This window comes from Homo sapiens, chromosome 6 (assembly GCF_000001405.40).
Source record: "Homo sapiens chromosome 6, GRCh38.p14 Primary Assembly".
Lineage (NCBI taxonomy): Eukaryota > Metazoa > Chordata > Mammalia > Primates > Hominidae > Homo > Homo sapiens.
In genome coordinates this window covers 74720350-74741135 of record NC_000006.12, presented here as the reverse complement: position 1 = coordinate 74741135, position 20786 = coordinate 74720350, and the positions used below count along the sequence as shown (strand labels likewise).

Genomic DNA, 20786 nt, shown 5'->3' with positions numbered 1-20786 from the left:
TAGAATGGCTTTAGATTTATAGGAAACTATTTTTTTTTTTTTTGAGATGGAGTTTTGCTCTTGTTGCCCAGGCTGGTGTGCAGTGGCGTGATTCTTGGCTCACTGTAACCTCCGTCTCCCGGGTTCAAGTGATTCTCCTGCCTCAGCCTCCTGAGTAGTGGGATTACAGGTGCCTGCCACCACGCCCAGGAAATTTTTTGTATTTTTAGTAGAGACAGGGGTTTCACCATGTTGGTCAGGCTGGTCTCGAAGTCCTGACTTCAAGTGATCCGCCTGCCTTGGCTTCCCAAAGTGCTGGGATTACAGGCATAAGCCAATGCACCTGGCCATATTTATAGGAGATTTTTGAGGATACTACAGTCACCACATACTCTGTACCCAGTTTCCCCTATAGTTAACTTCTGTAGATATTATGATACTTTGTTACAACTAATGAACCAATATTGAACCATTATTATTAACTAACTTTTATAATCTATTTGGATTTTGTTAGTTTTTACTTAATATTCTTATTCCATTCCAGAATCCCATCCAGAATACCACATTACATTGAGTCATCTTGTCTTCCTAGGCTCCTCTTGGCCATGACAGTTTCTGAGGCTTTCCTTGCTTTTGATTACCTAGAAAGCTCTGAAGAATACTCAGAGGTATTTTGTAGTGCCCCTCAATTTGGTGATGTTTCACTCATAGATTGGTTAGATTGGGGTATATAGGCTTTGAGGAGGACAGTCACAGAGGTCAAGGTCATTTTCATCACATAATATCAAAGGTGCATGCTATCAACATGATTTTTCCCTGATCATGTAAACATAGATCACCTCATTGAGTAGTGTTTGTCAAATTTCTTCATTATAATCTCCTCCCCCTTCTACTTCCCCCTCCTGAATGTCTATACTGTGCTCTTTGAAAGGAAGACACTAAGTGTAGCCCCACTCAAGTGGAGAGGGAGTTAAACTACACCTTTTTGAGGGGGAAGATATACACAAATTATTTGGAGCTTTTCTGTACACATTTCTCTTCTCCCTCATTTACGTATGTCTGTATATATTTAATTATTTAAGCATTCATTTATATCAGTATGAACTCATAAATATTTACCTTGTGCTTTGGGATACAAATACTACTTCATTTATTTTGTTGCTCATATTCCTTCAGCTTTGGCCATTGGGAGCATTCAAGCTGGCACCTTTGTCACTACCCCATGATTTTGTGTTTTGAGCACTTCCTTCCTCTCTGACACTACAATATGCTCCAGGCTTGTCTTGTATTTTTCCTATATTAATCCTAGAAGTCACTTCTTTAAGGGTATCTGTTTCTTTTTATTGGAGAATGTTATTAGAAACTATAATCTGAATACCAGGTATGCTCTTGCTACTTGGCATGTTATTGCTTCTGGGCACTCTTAGTTGACAAAACTAGGAAATATGTATACATGTAATAACCCTTGGATGTACACGCATCTATAATCATTCATCTGTTAGCATTTTGCATGTTTTAAAAGCTAAAAAACACTACCATACTCCTTGTAACATTATACAACTTCCTGGTCTCAAAGTATTTTAAAGATGCTAAAATTTATCCATTTTAAAGATCTATCCATTTTGTCTATTACTTTATCTTATTAATAATCCACAATTTATGTATTTATTCCTTTTTTGATGACAATTTAAGTTTTTTAAAATTTGTTATTACAAATGATATTATTTACAATTTAGGCCATAAAAGTATTTTTATTTATTTTTGAACATGTGTCTCGTAAAGTTTCTCCAGAGTATACCAATAAGTGAACTTGCTGGATCATAGGGTATTTATATATTGATTGCATTATATATTGCTAAGTTGCTACCCAAAATGATTGTTTCAATTTATATTCCCAACAAATGTAAGAAAATCTTTGTTCCTACATATTCTCACCAGAAATTTATACTGTCTAATTTATTGATTTGTATGAATCTTATATTTTCAAAATAGTAGCTCACTATGGCTTTAATTGGCTTTTTCTTGGTACTTGTGAGGTTGCATATCTTTTTTTAGAATTATCAACCACTGGGTTTGCCTCATCTTTGTCCATGGTATCTTTTATTGTTCAGAAGTTTATCTTACTGTAATTTAGTGTAAAATTAACTGAACGTTTCCTTTATGCTACGTACTTTTTGTGTGTGTATAGGTTTATTTTCATAATTGTTCTCTATCCCCAAGTCATAAAGGTATTTACATTTTTAAAAAATGTTTTTTGAGTTTTGGTTTCATGGTTATATTTTTAATCAATCTCGGCATTTATTTTTTGCAAACTGTGAGGTAAGTTTCCAATTTTATTCTTTTCCTCATGGCTGGTCAATTCTCCCACAAAGTTTATGGGATTCTCTATCCTTGCTGTGTTAGTTGAGTGACACATCTGTCACAATTCAAAATTCTTTTTATACATGATTTATTTCTGTGCTCTCTGTTCAGATTTGTATTTTTTGTTATCTTTGGTTTATGCATTTTATTTATAAAGTTGTAAAATGCTGGAGTAATTTCCATTTAACAATATAGTAACTTAGATTATTACAATTTGAATAGAGATTATTTTAAGTGTAGCTATCTCATTTAAGTGTGTCAAATTGGCAATAGGTTTTCATGATAAGAGTTTAATTATATTCATATTTAAAGTTATGTATGACTAGTATTTTAGAGATCTTACTAGGGATACACAGAAGAAAAAAGAAAACTTAGACTTGAAGATAGTAGAAGTGAATCTATTATAGGATATAGTTAAAATTTCCAGTCTTTCACCTCCTAATTATCTTACTTGTACTGGGGTTGATGCAAGTTTTAGACTCACAAACTCACATTTCCCAGTAATATGAGTCCATTCTGCTTGTCCCTTCTATAATACATGGTCATGAAAATTTAATGAAGCATTGAGCAACTCTTACTCATTGAATGAAAACCTACCTAAAAACTTTTTTGAGAGGCAACCCAGGCAGTCCTTCTCCAAATGAATTTATTTATTAGAATATGTAACTAACAATTGTAAAGCAAATATGGGGAGGAAAAAATAAATAAAGTCAAAGAATAGACAGAAGTAGAATGATGGTGAAGAAAAATGTATTGGAACTAATTAAGAAGAGAAAGGTCAGAATGAGCCAGGTGCTGTTTTTTCATTTATTATAAGGTTGAATTCCATTTTTAAAAGTTAAAATTTAGGATAAATTTGACTATTACATATCAGTCATTAAAGAGGATGAACTATGAGATAAAAATAATTACATATAAAAAGTGTAACCACATAAAATATAGCAATTAAAATTTCTGGAAAGAAGTGAAGGTTAAAGAAGAATGCTTATGATTGAAATATATTGCAACACAAATAGTTCTAATTATGCTGTATTGAGAAATTCAACAAACAGGTTAACATGTAAAAATCCAACACGAGAATTGTTTTAGTGAAGGATTTGTAAAAATATATAATAATGAAGACATCAGTATTCCATATTGATATTACTCTCCATTCATTATTTTACTTCATAACTTTTTTTAAATCTGAAAGTAAAATGAGAAAACCTGAAGAACCTGTACTTGTAGCTTTGAATGAAGTAACAGGGACCAGGTTTAACCCTGTTGTCATAAACGACTGAAAAAACCATATTCCCACCCCCTGCCACCCAAAAAAGTAGCACCACTCTTTAGCATTGAACTACAGACATCAGGACCATGATTACTGAGAAAAGGAAACCTAATAAGGTGAGGTGAGTGCCACAATTCCCTCAGTTTACTGACTAGAGGCAGTTCCCAAGATGTAGTGAGCTGAGAAGAAACTCAAACAGAACCCCAAAGTCTCACTGAGTTGTAGAGACAGAGATTGGGAATTTGGGAATCCAAGACAGCCACAATCTGTGGGACAGAGAGGAGGGAGTTGCATAGAATAAGAACTTCAGAGATCTGTGGGCAGGGATGTGGTGTGCTGGGGGAGCTCATCACTGGCTGAGTACTTACCTACGGCATGTACTAGAGGAAATTACCCAGGTGTGGGAAAACAAAAATAAAACAAAACAAAATAAAAATAATGCAAAGCAGTAATCCAAGCATATAAGAAAATAGTTCGTATTCCTACAAATGACAGTGGAAAAATCTCATAATACCTGCAGCACTGGGTTGAATCCTCACAAGAAAGTTGTGTTGGTAATGGAGTTAAGTTAGCCTTAACCTAAAAATCCACTCTAACGGAGCTCTGGATCCACTCTAACTGAGCTTAAAAGAAAGTCACAAAAGGCCAAACAAGCTCTAATACTCTTTAACAGAATACAACAAAATCCAGCAATGAACAAAATGAAATTACATAGTACACATTGCCCACCATTTGGTCATGTTTTCCTGCTTCTATGAATGCAGGGAAATTCAAAGAATGTAAGAATTCAAAAAAGCATGAAAATGTGACCCATAATCAGGAAAAACAAAACCAATATAAAAAGTTAGGAAATGGCAGGTTTTTCTTTTTTAAAAAATTAATTGATTGACTTTTCTCCTTGCCTCAAGTATTATAAAGTCTTTCTCTTCTTGTTGGTGGAATTCTCACACATTGCTAGTGGGAATGAAAAATGCCATAGCCACCTTGGAAAATATTTTGGAGTTTCTTTATAAAGTTATGTGTATGCTTACCGTGAGATTCAACATTCTTACTTTTAGGTACCCAAGAGAAATTAAAACGTATATTCTCACATATGTTTGTATATAAATGTTCATAATATTCCAAACCTTGATAGTATCCAAATATCCATCAACATTTCAATGAGTAAACAGATTGTGATATATCTATAGAATGGAATTCTACTCACTAACAAAAGGAACAAACTAGTGATACATACAACACGAATGAATCTCAAAATCATTGCTAAGTGAAAGAAGCGAAATACAAATGTTTAGAAGATACGGCTAGAAAAATCAAAATGTTGGTGATGAAAAGCAAATCTGGGGTTGCCAGAGGCTGGAGCTGGGGAGAGAAGATTGACTATAAGTGGCATGAGGAAATATGTAAATATGAATGCATACATTTTTCAAAACTCATTGAGTTGTACACTTAAAATTGGTGAATTTTATTGTATGTAAACTTTACCTGGATGAACTGAGTAAAAGTAAGTGGAATCAATTTTGGGGTAGAGCAAGTTTCTAAGACCTAAGACAGCTTGACTAATTTTTAAGTTTACTAGTCTTAAAAGAGAAAGAGTTTAGTAGTAAAAATCAATAGGAAATAATTGCCTGTGGTAAAATAAAGCTTCTTGAATTAATGTCAAACAAAGAAAAGTATGTCCACATTCAAAGAAAGCCTTGAAATAGTCCAAAGTAAACTGACATGCACTAAAATAGTCAGAAATAAACACTACATCCGAGTATTAGTAAAGCTAAGATTTTTGCAAGATTTAAGGTATTTTTAAAAATCAAATATATGGCCTTGAGTTCATTGCTGAAATGGTTAAGGTTTTTTCCCTCCTTTGATTTTTATAGTATCAGACACTTGTAATGAAAATAAAATTTAAAGAACAAGAACTGCATACAATCAATGACATGACTCATAGCTCTTCTCAGAGTTGGCATACTCCTTGTGGAAAAAGACAGTCATCATTCTGATTTTGAAACACTCGGGTGGGCAGCTCCTCCTCATTTTGGACAACCAAAGTATTTGCTCAGAAGGGTTTTCTTAAGAATTGTTTATTGCTTTTTCACGGTAACTGATGCAGTTAGGAAAATATGTTACTTTCAACATCATCATTCTTTATGCTGATTGCATCCTTGTTAATATGAAAAACTTGTAGCAGCAATTTCACCCACAATTAAATGGCTGGTCCTTCACTCAAGATATGTTCATTCATTTGTTCTTTTTTCTTCAATTAATTTACTCAAGATTGATTGTACATCTCATTTAATGATGCTGGGGGAGAGCCATTATCATCCAAAATTTTAACAAAACCTTAAAGGTAAAAATATAGTGAGACTGTCAGGGGCCAGTTACTCTGTATGGTTTTGTGGAATCTGAGTAGATTTCACATACTAATCTGACCGAACACAGAAATCATGTTTCTTTTTAACCGGAGGCTCTGTGAGAGGAAAGTTTCTTAGTTTATCTTTCATTGTTCCCAGTGTATTAGTCCTGAGAAGCCAAAACTTTCGAATCTTTGAAAATAATTTAAAACCCTAGAGAAAATTTGGGCCTTTTAAAATAAAAACTTTACAAGATCTCAGATGTTTGTGAAGGATACTTTTTATTTATCATTGAAGGCTAGAATTGTTTAAATCAAATATGCTTGATTTTTCTTTAATGGAAGGCTACCAAAGGTCATGGAAGTTCTGTTAAATCAAATCCTGAAATTTTCTTGGGCTTCTAGACTGTTGAAGCTGGACACAGTTATGTTTATTAAATCCATCTTTGTATTTTTGGCAATTAGTTTCTCACACCTTGACTTTAGAAATCTGGGAATCATTGACATGTCCAGCCTTCAAAGTATCTGAGGCTAATTTTTCATAGACCAACATTCCTAATTAGTGGTAATACTTTTGGAAATGCTTCCATTACTGATCCTCCAGGGATTCACACATGGCAAATGCATTTAAAACACCATCTATCATCTAGACCCCTACTTTCAAGCCCTCAAGAAAATGTTTTTGTAAACAATTGGCCCTTGAATATATCCTTTGAGCCAAGAAGTTTGTGTTTCATCAGACCAAAAGAAGAAGCACATTCCAGAGAGGAGGATTCTCTGAGGACAAAACATTGTGTCAAGATCTGGCGCATTCTGTCATTTCTGAGCTTGCTGCAAGTGATGTCATAAATTCAAGGTCAAGAAGAACCATTACATGCCACCTCCAAAGACCCACTTTTACAGCTTCCAGCATGTGTTGTGAAACATTTCTTCTAATTTCTAAAATTGAAACAATTACTATGATCTACAAAATTTGAAGAACAACTATGAATCAATAATTTACTGCTATAATCAACAAAGGATAAATTAACTTCATCTGACACATGCTGAATAATCTACATAAATATGATTGCAAGTCATGGCAAGTATTCGTAAGTGGTAAGTAACAATGATAGTGATATTTACACAGCCAATTTGAGCATTTATAAGGGTCACTTGGAAATGTGAGGGTAGGCTTGGCTAAAAATGAAACTGCCTAGAATTTCTACTTAAGACACTGTAACAAGAAACACCTGAAGTGCATGTTAAAAACATTATTCTTAATCATTACCAGTAAAGATGCCAGATAAAATACAGGATATCAGCAGATTTGAATTCCATATAAACAATAAATAATTGTAGTTCTGTGTATTTTATTTCAGATAAATAATTAATAATTATACTTCCATATTTTATTGCTCAATGGGGCAATATGCAGGAATGAACCTTCAGGTGATTAGAATCTCAGGTGATTCTTATTATCAAGAGAGTTAGAAAAACATGGCTAGAGGTGACTGCTGCCATTTTCTTTCTCCGGCAAAGAACTTCTAATTCTTAGTTAGACTTGGTAGGACTTACTCACTTTTCTTGAGGAATTAAGATTGGCAAGGTAGCCTGAGTCCTTCTCCAGGCAGGAAGGGAGAAGCAGAAGGACAGAACCTTTGGTCCAGCTACAGTAGGGAGCAGGTGGTGCCAGATTACCTGTCAGGTAAACTCGTTTTCTTTTTCCCTTTTCTACAGTGGTTCTGTAGGAAGAAATACCTAAATTAGATAATATTGTGTGTGTGTGTGTGTGTGTATGTGTGTGTGTGTGTGTTTGAAATGGTATAATATAGGAGTTCTGTTTAGAATAATTTATGTTGGAATTGATGGCTAGAGATGTAAATAAAAGAAGATTGGTCAATAATGGATAATTATTGAAATCGTATGTTATATATTTGCGTGTCTGATATTATTCTATGTTGGTATATTTTTGAAATCTTCTGTAACAAAAAAATTGAAAAATTTCAAAAAAGATCTTTGTTAACTGCATCTTGTGTGGTTAGAGTTAATGCAAGACAACTGCAGCAAAACCAAATAATTTAAGATAATTAAGTTAATTATCTCACTAGCATATTTCCATTGCAATCTTTCTTTATAATTCTTTGTCTAATATGTCATGCTTAGAACCTTACAATGACATCCCTACAAGCCTCTATTTGTTAATGTCAACTTTGTAGTGAAAATGTGGCATTTTAGCTTTTTATTCTGTTTAACAATAAGAGTTCGAATCTGAAAACCTGGTTTCAAATTCACTTTCTGGCTGTGTGAATCTAGAAAGGCATTTATAGTATAGTAGATTCTTTGACTCTGAACTTTAAAAACTTGGCCCTATCACTTTGAAATAGTCTGACACTGGTGAGCTACCTAACCTGTCTAAGCCTTGCTGTCATCTCTGTAATTGAAGGTTGTCTTAGTCCATTTGGGCTGATATAACAAAAGCACTATAGACTAGGTGGCTTTTAAACAACAGCACTTGTGTTTCTCACAATTCTGAAGGCTGGGAAATCTAAGATCAAGGGCTGGCAGATTTGGTGGCTGGTGGTGGCCCACTTCCTGGGTCATAGACAATTGTCTTTCTCACTGGGTCCTCACATGGCAGAAGGGTCAAGAGAGCTGTCTGGGGTCCATTTTGTAAGCGCACTAGTCCTGTTCATGAAAGCTTTGCCCTCCTGACCTAAGTACCTTCCAAAGGCCCCACCTCCAAATACCATCACACTGGGGATTAACTTTCAACATACACATTTTGGGGAGACACAAACTTTCAATCTGTAGCAGAGGTGATGGTTGGCATGAGAATTAAATTAAGTAGCATATAATAGATGGTGAGGAGAATGTCTGTGACCTCGTAGGCATTCAGTGAATGGGGGATTTTATTAGTTTTCCCAGAGCTGTCGTAACGAATTACCACAAGCTGAGTGGCTTAAAATAACAGAAATTTATTCTCTCACAGTTGAGGCTAGAAGTTTGAAGTTGTCAGTAAGGCCAGGCTTCTGCTGAAGGCTCTAGGGAAGACTACTTCCTCGCCTTTTCTTAGCCTCTGGTGGTTGCTGGCAATTCTTGGCATTCCTCAGCTCTAACTTCATTACTCCAATCTCTGTCTACAACTTCATGTGGCTGTTTTCCCTTTGTGTGCATCTGATTGTCTCCAAATCTTTTTTCCTTAGGAAGATAGAAATCACTGGATATGGGGGCCTGCCATAATTCAGTATAACCTCATCTAATCTTGATTATACCTTTACAGACCTTATTTTCAAATGAGATCACATTCACAGTACCACGGGTTTAATACTTCAATACATCTTTTGAAGGGATGCAATTTAACCCGTAACAGTGGACTCATTATAACTTAAGTAACTCAATCTTGTTTCCTCTTCCCCAAAATAAAGCAGCTAATATCTGTTAGCTGCTTTATGGTTATGAGACTTAAATGAGGTATTTCATGTGAAAAACCTGACACAACCAACACACAAACTCAATCTGAATTATCCCTTTTCTGTTTAATCACATCCAGCCATTCAATTTTTAAAGTTTTATATGTTATTTTTAAATACAAGAGCCAGCTCTGTCACAGCTTAAAGTGCTATAGAGTTTTGCCCACTTTAGAAGTTCAAGTATAGGTGTAGCAGCTGGGTAAACACAGTTTCTGTCATCTATATTCACAGAGTGGACTTGTCTGATTTGATGACTAATGGGTCAGGCAACTATACATGTAACTCTGCACCAAAACGTTTCCTTTAGCTCACAGGGTCTGTTTGTGCTTTGCTTTAGGGAAGGAGTGGGAGAAAAGGGAACCAGGGGAAACAGTCTTGCTATTGTGTGCCTGAGTGACCTACATAAATGGCTTCATTGGAAAGATGTGCATAGTTCTTCCCACACACGAAAAAGGAAGTAAGTGCCTTTTCTGGGCTAGACCAAGAGATGTTTTTCTCCCAAATTTGGAGAGGAGGACAGGAGTGTTAATCACTGTCATGAACCAAAACCTCCAAGTCCTAAAGAACCTTGAGTCTTGCCCCTGGGGAGGAAATGACAACAGAAAAAATAAATTTGAGGGGATCCTAAAGCAAGAATACCTTGGCCTATGCTTCCAGGTGTAGCCCAGGATCCCATCGGCCTTGCAAAGAAGCCCTGCACCCTAAATGATGCACAGCTGTAAGACAGCAAGCATAGAGTAGGCAGTCAGGCCTAAAGGAAGACTCACAGGATACCAGGGAAGTGTGGAAGAAGGCAGCCAGAGACTGCAAAAGGCTTTGGAGTTCAAGTAGGGAAGGAGACTTCTGTTACTGTAATTTGGACAACAGGCACCATAGTAAACCTAGGGACCTTAGCATTAATAGCACATGGTGAAAATGACCAAATATAAAGTGTTGTATCTCGGTGGAGGCTAGTTTTAAGAGATGGTCAAGGACCAGATTCCCTTTGCCACCAATTCCATGAATGACTGCCTGCTTCCAGAGCCTCCGTAGTGAGAAGGAAGAAGTTCTAAATTAACATTCTGTCTCCTCAACTAACTGAGTTTAAATCCTAAACTTATGAAATTTAAAATCAGCATAGAGCAAAGTAATGTCTGCTAAGTTTAGGTAGTGACTAGGTAATATTTTCTAATATCAGTACAGAGAGGAGCCCACAATGGAAATTACATTTGCTTGTGGAAATATGAAGAAAGCCATATTCTTGCACATTGAGTTTTGTTTGATCAGACACACAAATAAACATGACTCCTTCCATCCATCTGGGGGCATTTGATTTCATTTTCTGTTGCTCTCTGTACCTCTGGTTTCTTTTTTTGCCAAATAATTTGTTTACTCTGCTATTTGTGCCCATATGTCAAACCTGGCTACATCAAAATGATGCTCTTGGTCCATGGATCAACTTCATCTCAATGTGACAGCAGAGACTAGTATTTTAAATTCCAAATATTAGAATCCTCAGAAAAACATGATTGTCCCACTGGAAATGTATCCACAGTTAATGAAATCATTGATTGTTTGGGTGTTGGGATTGAGATCATGTAATACTAACCTGGTTTTATACCCATAAAAGAGATAAAGGGAGAAAAGAGAAGAGAGGAAAAAAATTCACTGAGATGATGTCTCACTATGAGTAAAAATTAAAACTACAAAGTCTTACAACATACTTTGCTGAAGAAGTTATGGTAAAACAGCACTCTTACATTGTTAGTGAAATTGCAAATGACACAAACGCTATAATGAGACATTTCAAAATATCTAGATAGATCGCATATCCATTTATCTCTTGACTTAGAAATGGTATTTCTAGAAACTTATCTCAAGCATATATCACCAAAAATATGTACTTTGTTTGCATAAAGCTATTCAAAGAACTATTTGTAATATCAAAAACTGGAAGAAACCTAGGTACCTATCTACAGGGGACTAGTAGGATAAATGTTAATATCCCCATCCAAAGGAGAAAAAATTCCAGGCAAAAAGAAAGGTTGTGCAGTTTGCTATTGTTTAGTTAAAAAAAAGATATATATCTGTTAATATTAAAAATAAAAATAATATTAAAAATAAAACATATATATCTGTTAATATTAAAAATAAAATATTAAAAATATTGAAAAGCTAGCTTTCTCAAAATATAGCTTTGCTTAATTTGGGGACTATGGAAATATTTTACATAATTAAATAAAAGGATAATCCTTAAGAATAAAAATTTAAAAATGAACCTAAACATGTTTTGTCGGTGGTATAATCACATGAGAAGATAAAATTCCAAGCGATTTCAAAATAGGGTAATTTTAATATACACGTTTTGTGGGATATATCCTAATGATAAAATAACTTAAAAATATTAAATTCATCTAATCATGGACTTTAGATCTCATTTCTCACTAAAATCAATAGGGCTTCTGGAAAAAATGACTAAACTCTCTGGCTTTAAATTCATTTTTCTATGCTTAGAAAAATGGGGTTAAAATAGTTCCTATCTTATAGGGTACTTCTCAGGAATAAATGAATTATCATATATTATGCTTGGAGAAATAGTGTCTGGTTATATGGCAGGTATTTAATTAATGTATGGCATTCCTTTTATTCTCTTTTAATCTCCTTAAAGTATCATTTGCCAGGAATATATAGACTACTTTGAATTATATATATATTTGACTCTTCAGCCAGAGCTTTGGTGGAGAACTCCATACTTTAAAGATGGCAAAACCAACTTTTTGAGCAGGATCACATAGAGATTAGCATTGGTTACCTACTTCCTGCTTTACCTTGTTTGAAATGATAATCAAAATAACCACGTAAAGTGTTTTTTTTTTTAAATTAAGAAATAAGGAAACTGAGGCTTAGAAAAATGTTGAAGCCCTGTTCTTGTTTCAGGATTAGTAAGTGGCTCAGCCACCAGTCAAGTCAAGCCTGTCTGACATTGAGTTCTTTCTGCCAAATCACTGCTTTTCTAAGGAAGACCTCCCATGTCTTGTTGACTGATGCCTGAAGTCCTGCTGTTAGATGTATTCCTATGGCTTACCTCATTTCCTCTGTTAAAATGCAGATGCCCTTGCAATAACTGGTTATTGCTATCTTGGATACAGAGAAAAATATATTTATATTTGGAAATATTAAACTTTAATTTTGCACCATAATTGGTGTTTTCTGGATCATTCTTAGAATCAAGAAGCCGTCTTTTCTTTTTCCCAATAAGTCTTTAGCTTGTTGCAGAATTTGAATGGGAAAAAACATTTTTATAATGCCTGGTTGCAGAAATAGTACAGAACTGCTCTAGTGAAAATTATACCTTGCTCAACAGCCTGGAGAAAGGGTCCTCCAGAAAAATAAAAATCCACCAGATTATGTTCTTTAATTTCATAGCACCTTATTCTTGTATCTTTCTGAAATTCAATTTTAGATCTGAGATTGTATAAGACACTTGTTTCAGACTCATATGTTTTCAAATGAGATAGTTAAGAATTTGGGTCTTATGTTTTGGTTGTAAAATTAAACCTAATTTCAGAATAATTAGTAAAAAATTGGCAAGGTAACTGAGTATTTTAAGACACAGCCAAATTTTATCATTTTCTGTTCTCAATTTTGAACTCAGGAAAATTAGATTTGATAAGTTGATTCATGTTTTTAAAATTATGTAAACATACTTTTCTCATACAAAAATTATGCATCTGGTAAAATGTCAAATGGATGAAGTCGAGGGTGCAAAAATGAACTAAATGCAAGAAAAAAGTAAACGCCATGTAGATGTTACCAAATGGTACATATTCTAGGAATTGCTTTTGTATGCTTGGAAATGGCTCCTGTAGGAATAACTGATTATTCTAAAAACATTTGGAATAGTTGAAAAAATGTTGCTTGTATGAGTTATCCATGTTTGCAAAAGTTTTAGGATAAATTAACAGGGTTGTTTATAAAAACAGATCAGTTAAATTTAAAACATCCTGAAAGCTCTGGTATAAAATTACAGTCACACTTTTTTCCACTGTTAGTATTTTATAGGCATTTTAATTCACATCATTCTAATTTCTTGAGAGAAAAATAAATAAATGAATAAAATATAGCAGATATAGATATACATACATATCTATGTATATATGCAAATTTAATTTAATTTTCCTGTTATGCTTTTATTTTCAAAGTCTCATTGTTGATAATGAGTATACATTCACACATACAAAAATCTTAAAAGGATTAGGTTAAGAACAACTTTCTTTAGGAGACAGAAATGGATAAACTTTTAAAATAATAAGTGATTTTGTGATTGATTTCATTGAAAGCACTAGTTGATTAATAGAAACAAAGGGGAAGAAGAAGGAAAATATAAATTATTAAAATCCCTTTATTTAACTTTAGAAAAGTTCCCCACACCACTGCCACCCTTCCACCACCCCACCCACACATAAAAGAATTTCTTGATATTATGTTGAAAAATGCATTTCAAGTGAAACTCTTTGAAACAGACAAAACCATGACTGTTTCCTTCATAGTCTTTATGTCCTGAAGACTCCAGAACTTTAAAATTTGCTTCCAGATCATTTTTATAATCTCTGAGTCAATTTTCAGTATGATAATTTAGAAAGTGATTAATTTTACTTACAAGTTAAATTATTCTCTGCAGAAATCATTTGGGAAAAAATATTTATTTCAGTAGGACCATATTTTTGTAGTCCTTCCTTTAACCATAACTTCAATAATTAGCTGACATATAACACAGAAATAGAACACACAGTTTTCATTTTATGATTTTCACTATGGATATAAATACCCATTCCTGAGAAAGAAAGATTTGGAATTACAGTTTTATTGAGGTTAGAATACAATTGGATGGATGGCATAAACCTTTCAGGATCTGAAATTCCTAATGTAGGTGAACTGTTTCTTAATTCACAAGGTTCACAAGGTTCACCCAGATAAGCTGTGGCATTGTCTGTGTTTAAAATTCATGGCCCTGGATTCATTGATTTTTTGAAGGGTTTTTTGTGTCTCTATCTCCTTCAGTTCTGGTCTGATCTTAGTTATTTCTTGCCTTCTGCTAGCTTTTGAATGTGTTTGCTCTTGCTTCTCTAGTTCATTTAATTGTGATGTTAGGGTGTCAATTTTAGATGTTTCCTGCTTTCTCTTATGGGCATTTAGTGCTATAAATTTCCCTCTATCCAACATGATCAAGTGGGCTTCATCCTCGGGATGCAAGGCTGGTTCAACATACGCATATCAATAAACATAATCCAGCATATAAACAGAACCAAAGACAAAAACCACATGATTATCTCAATAGATGCAGAAAAGGCCTTTGACAAAATTCAACAGCACTTCATGCTAAAAACTCTCAATAAATTAGGTATTGATGGGAAGTATCTCAAAATAATAAGAGCTAGTTATGACAAACCCACAGCCAATATCATACTGTATGGACAAAAACTGGAAGCATTCCCTTTGAAAACTGGCACAAGACAGGGATGCCCTCTCTCACCACTCCTATTCAACATAGTCTTGGAAGTTCTGGCTAGGGGATTCAGGCAGGAGAAAGAAATGAAGGGTATTCAATTAGGAAAAGAGGGAGTCAAATTGTCCCTGTTTGCAGATGACATGATTGTATATTTAGAATACCCCATCATCTCAGCCCAAAATCTTCTTAAGCTGATAAGCAACTTCAGCAAAGTCTCAGGATACAAAGTCAATGTGCAAAAATCACCAGCATTCTTATACACCAATAACAGACAAACAGAGAGCCAAATCATGAGTGAAGTCCCATTCACAATTGCTTCAAAGAGAATAAAATACCTAGGAATCCAACTTACAAGGGATGTGAAGGACCTCTTCAAGGAGAACTACAAACTACTGCTCAACGAAATAAAAGAGGACACAAACAAATGGAAGAACATTCCATGCTCATGGGTAGGAAGAATCAATTTCATGAAAATGGCCATACTGCCTAAGGTAATTTATAGATTCAATGTCAGCCCCATCAAGCTACCAATGACTTTCTTCACAGAATTGGAAAAAATTAAAGTTCATATGGAACCAAAAAAGAGCCGACATTGCCAAGTCAATCTTAAGCCAAAAGAACAAAGCTGGAGGCATCACGCTACCTGACTTCAAACTATCCTACAAGGCTACAATAACCAAAACAGCATGGTACTGGTACCAAAACAGAGATATAGAGCAATGGAACAGAACAGAGCCCTCAGAAATAATACAACACATCTGCAACCATCTGATCTTTGACAAACCTGACAAAAACAAGAAATGGAGAAAGGCTTCCCTATTTAATAAATGGTGCTGTGAAAACTGGCTAGCCATATCTAGAAAGCTGAAACTGGATCCCTTCCTTACACCTTATACAAAAATTAATTCAAGATGGATTAAAGACTTAAATGTTAGACCTAAAACCATAAAAACCCTAGAAGAAAACCTAGACAATACCATTCAGGACATAAGAATGGGCAAGGACTTCATGTCTAAAACACCAAAAGCAATGGCAACAAAAGCCAAAATTGACAAAAGGGATCTAATTAAACTAAAGAGCTTCTGCACAGCAAAAGAAACTACCATCAGAGTGAACAGGCAACCTACAAAATGGGAGAAAATTTTTGCAATCTACTCATCTGACAAAGGGCTAATATCCAGAATGTACAATGAACTCAAACAAATTTACAAGAAAAAAACAAACAACCCCATCAACAAGTGGGCGAAGGATATGAACAGACACCTCTCAAAAGAAGACATTTATGCAGCCAAAAGACACATGAAAAAATGCTCATCATCACTGGCCATCAGAAATGCAAGTCACAACCACAATGAGATACCATCTCACACCAGTTAGAATAGCAATCATTAAAAAGTCAGGAAACAACAGGTGCTGGAGAGGATGTGGAGAAATAGGAACACTTTGACACTGTTGGTGGGACTGTAAACTAGTTCAACCATTGTGGAAGACAGTGTGGCAATTCCTCAAGGGTCTAGAACTAGAAACACCATTTGACCCAGCCATCCCATTACTGGGTATATGCCCAAAGGATTATAAATCATGCTGCTATAAAGACATATGCACATGTGTGTTTATTGTGGCACTATTCACAATAGCAAAGACTTGGAACCAACCCAAATGTCCATCAATGATAGACTGGATTAAGAAAATGTGGCACATATACACCGTGAAATACTATGCAGCCATAAAAAAGGATGAGTTCCTGTCCTTTGCAGGGACATGGATGAAACTGGGAACCATCATTCTGAGCAAACTATCGCAAGGACAAAAAATCAAACACTGCATGTTGTCACTCATAGGTGGGAATTGAACAATGAGAACACTTGGATACAGGGTGGGGAACATCACACACCAGGGCCTGTCATAGGGCAAGGGGAGGAGGGAGGGATAGCATTAGGAGATATACCTAATGTAAATGATGAGTTAATGGGTGCAGCACACCAACATGGCACATGTATACATATGTAACAAACCTGCACGTTGTGCACATGTACCCTAGAACTTTAATAAAAAATAAAAATAAAAAAATAAAATTCATGGCCCATCATTACACTCTTAGTGCTCTTGGAACCTCCATCGTAATTTGTAGGAATTTAGTGACTCTCATCATCTTTTGGGGTCCAAGAGCTGCCCATATGAATTCTCAGCCAGCCTGTTCCTTTATAGGAACATGGGTCTAAATAAAATCTTTTCTACATTTTATAGTACATTCATTTCTATCTTGTAGCCATGAACTCAATTTATGCAATATAATAATTAATTTTTATGTACTTTCCAGTAACTTCTTAATTTTCTTCTCCCATACAATAAATAATTTCACTATTGTCTCAACCAGTTTAGATACCGCAAGACATTATTACACAGGATAAAACTTGGCTGCAATGTATATATTTCTGCTAAACTGAAGACCATGTGACAGTTTGGGCTGGGCCCAAGTAACCTTTTAAACAATGGCAGGGATGGGCCATTTCAGTGATATAAGAATAGTACCCAAAGCTGAGTGGGAGAGAGGTACACCTGAGGCTCACTCGAAGTCTATTAGGGAATCTTGTAAACTGTGAGAGCAGAGCCTTTCTAAGAACTCCATTAGGATCAGCTCCTGCCTGTGGTCTTCCAAGAGATTTTCTATATCTATTTTGTCACATGCTTCCCTGTCCTATCACACTTTGCCCTGTACCTTACCCTCTAGACTAATAAAAGTAACTCGCCATTATTCACTTTTCCAAGCTTTTGACTCGTCTCACCATTGTACGTGCTCCACAATCTTAGATCTACTTCCTCAACTTACACCTGCCTCCTTTCTATCTACCACCTCTCTTTCACACTATAAGGTGTCTTAGATCAGGTTGCAGATAAGCTGACTTTGAGATGGGAATTTGAACGCAGAAGGTTTACTGGAGACTTCTCCCTGGAACAAGTATAAAGGAAATAAAGAAGCCAGATTAAGCAGAATGAGAAGTGGGACCTCAGTGCATTTCCAAGAGAGGTTCCAACAAATCTCACAAGGTGCTCTGGAGTTGGCATAGTCTTCAGTTTGTTGTCTTCTTTAAGGTAAAAGGCTGAGTTTTTGTATTCTAGCCCATCCCTTGCATCAATCAGGCATTGGATGGTGTTGGTAGGAGGAAGGAAAGTCGTAATCCATAACCCGGGGCAAAAGCTTTTTTCTGCCTAGGCCAATTCTCAGGAGGGACTCACCTTCCAATTATTTTATTCTTCAGACGTAATCACTAAGGCCAGCCCATACTTGAGGATAAAGTTTCATCTCCTGGAAGAGTTAGTAACTACTTATTCAGAATTCTTCTATAAGAAAGATTTAAGTGTCCCATTTTCAGCAAAGGATCACAAAGCATACACAGAAAAAGAAAGGAACAGTAAGCCCTTACTAAACATTGTTGATAGGTTCTTTTAAACTGCAATTTTAAATAAAACATGATCTAACAAAAACTATTTTTCTCATACATGTTATTACAAAATGATGTTGCAGGCTGGAGTGCAGTGGCACAATCTAGGCTCACTGCAACCTCTGCCTCGTGGGTTCAAGCGATTCTCCTACCTAAGCTTCCCGAGTAGCTGGGACTACAGTCGTGCACCACGATGCCCAGCTAATTTTTGTATTTTTAACAGAGACAAGGTTTCACCATGTTGGCTAGGATGGTGTCTATCTCTTGACCTCATGATCCACCAGCCTTGGCCTCCCAAAGTGCTTGGATTACAGGCATGTGCCACCGTGCCTGGCCCCATTATTTCTTTTAGACCTAAAACCATAAAAACCCTAGAAGAAAACCTAGGCAATACTATTCAGGACATAGGAATGGGCAAGGGCTTCATGTCTAAAACACCAAAAGCAATGGCAACAAAAGCCAAAATTGACAAATGGGATCTAATTCAACTAAAGAGCTTCTGCACAGCAAAGGAAACTACCATCAGAGTGAACAGGCAACCAACAGAATGGGAGAAAATTTTTGCAATCTACCCATCTGACAAAGGGCTAATATCCAGAATCTACAATGAACTCCAACAAATTTACAAGAAAAAACAAACAACCCCATCAACAAGTGGGCGAAGGATATGAACAGACACTTCTCAAAAGAAGACATTTATGCAGCCAACAGACACATGAAAAAATGCTCATCATCACTGGCCATCAGAGAAATGCAAATCAAAACCACAGTGAGATATCATCTCACACCAGTTAGAATGGCGATGATTAAAAATTCAGGAAACAACAGGTGCTGGAGAGGATGTGGAGAAATAGGAGCACTTAAACTCTTATTTTCTAAGAACTTATCAGTGATGTTAAGCGAGGACTTACTGTATAACTCATTTAAAGGAAAAAATGAATAAACTGGATATGTTTTTAATGTTTTGTGATAAGCATTTTTTTTTAAATAAAAATCCTCAGAAGATTCTAGGAAGATTTGATGAAAGATCAGACAAAAACTTTAAAACAACTCTCTTAAGGGTGCTCTAAGAACTAAAGACGTGGAGAAAGTAAAAAAAAAAAATCCAAAAAAATAGAAATATCAGTGAAGAGCTAGAAAATCTAAAAAGAAATAAAAAACAAATTTTGGAGCTGAAAAATACAATAACTGAAATAAAATCACTAGAGGAATTTAAAGCTGCATTTGAACAGGCAGAAGAAAGAATAAGTGAACTTGAAAATAAGACAATGGAAATTATTAAGTCTGAGGAACAGAAGGAAAACAGATTAAAGAAAAGTAAATAGAGCCTAAAGAACCAGTGGAACACTGTTTAGAAGATCAACATATACATTGTAAGACTCTCAGAAGTTGAAGAGAGGGGGAGAGAGAAAAGGGGTGTGCACAGAGAGAAAGGAAATAGCATTATTTTATGAAATAATGGCTGAAAACTCCCCATATTTGATAAAAGATATGGATATAAAACTCAAGAAGCTCAAACTCCAAGTAAAATGAACTCAAAGAGACCCACACTGAGAAATATTATAATCAAACTTTTAAAACACAATGAAAGAATTTTGAAAGCAATGAGAAGGAAGTGACTAATTACATACAAATATCCTTAATAAAATTACCCGCATATTTCTCAACAGAAACTCTAGAGGCCACAAGGCTATGGTCTGTGTATTAGTTCATTCTTATACTGCTATAAAGAAATGCCTGAGACTGGGTGATTTATAAAGAAAAGAGGTATAATTGGCTCACAGTTCCACAAGCTGTACAGGAAGCATGGCAACCTCTGCATGGCTTGTGGGAAGCCCTCAGGAAATTTTTAATCATGGCAGAAGGCTAAGGGAAAGCAAGGCATCTCACATGGCTAGCACAGGAGGGTGGCACCATATACTTTTAAACAATCAGATCTTCTGAGAACTCTATCATGAGAACAGCAATAGGGGAATGGTGCAAAACCATTAGAAACCTGCCCCCATGATTCAATCACCTCCCACCATGCCCCACCTCCAACTTTGGGAATTACAATTGAACATAAGATTTGGGTGAGGACGCAAATCCAAATCATAGCAGTCTGATATATTCAAAGTACTATCTGTCAACCAAGAATCCTACATCTGGCAAATCTTTCCTTCAAAATAAAATAAAGACAGTTCCAGATAAACAAAAGCTGAAATAGTTTGTTACCCCTTAACTTTCCCTGCAACAAATGTTCAAGGAAGTTATACAAGGTGAAATAAAAGGATGACTGGACCATAACTCAAAACTATTTTAAAAAGATCTTAATAAAAGTAAATACATGGGTAATTATAAAAGCTAGCATTAATATAACAATGGTTTATAACTCTACTTTGTAATTTCTAAATAAGAAATTAATACATTTAAATTATTAATCTAAAAGTTAGTATTATTGTAACTT

At 35.3% G+C, this 20786-nt stretch overlaps 1 long non-coding RNA gene across 1 annotated transcript in view; it reads left to right on the top strand.

Moving 5' to 3' along the window:
- Nucleotides 1-6770: 6770 nt before the first annotated feature.
- LOC105377858 (uncharacterized) overlaps nt 6771-20786 on the top strand; it is a 140187-nt gene continuing 126171 nt past the window's right edge. Inside the window, exon 1 of the long non-coding RNA NR_187974.1 lies at nt 6771-7055. This is a non-coding gene — a long non-coding RNA (uncharacterized LOC105377858). The remainder of the gene's footprint in view (nt 7056-20786) is intronic.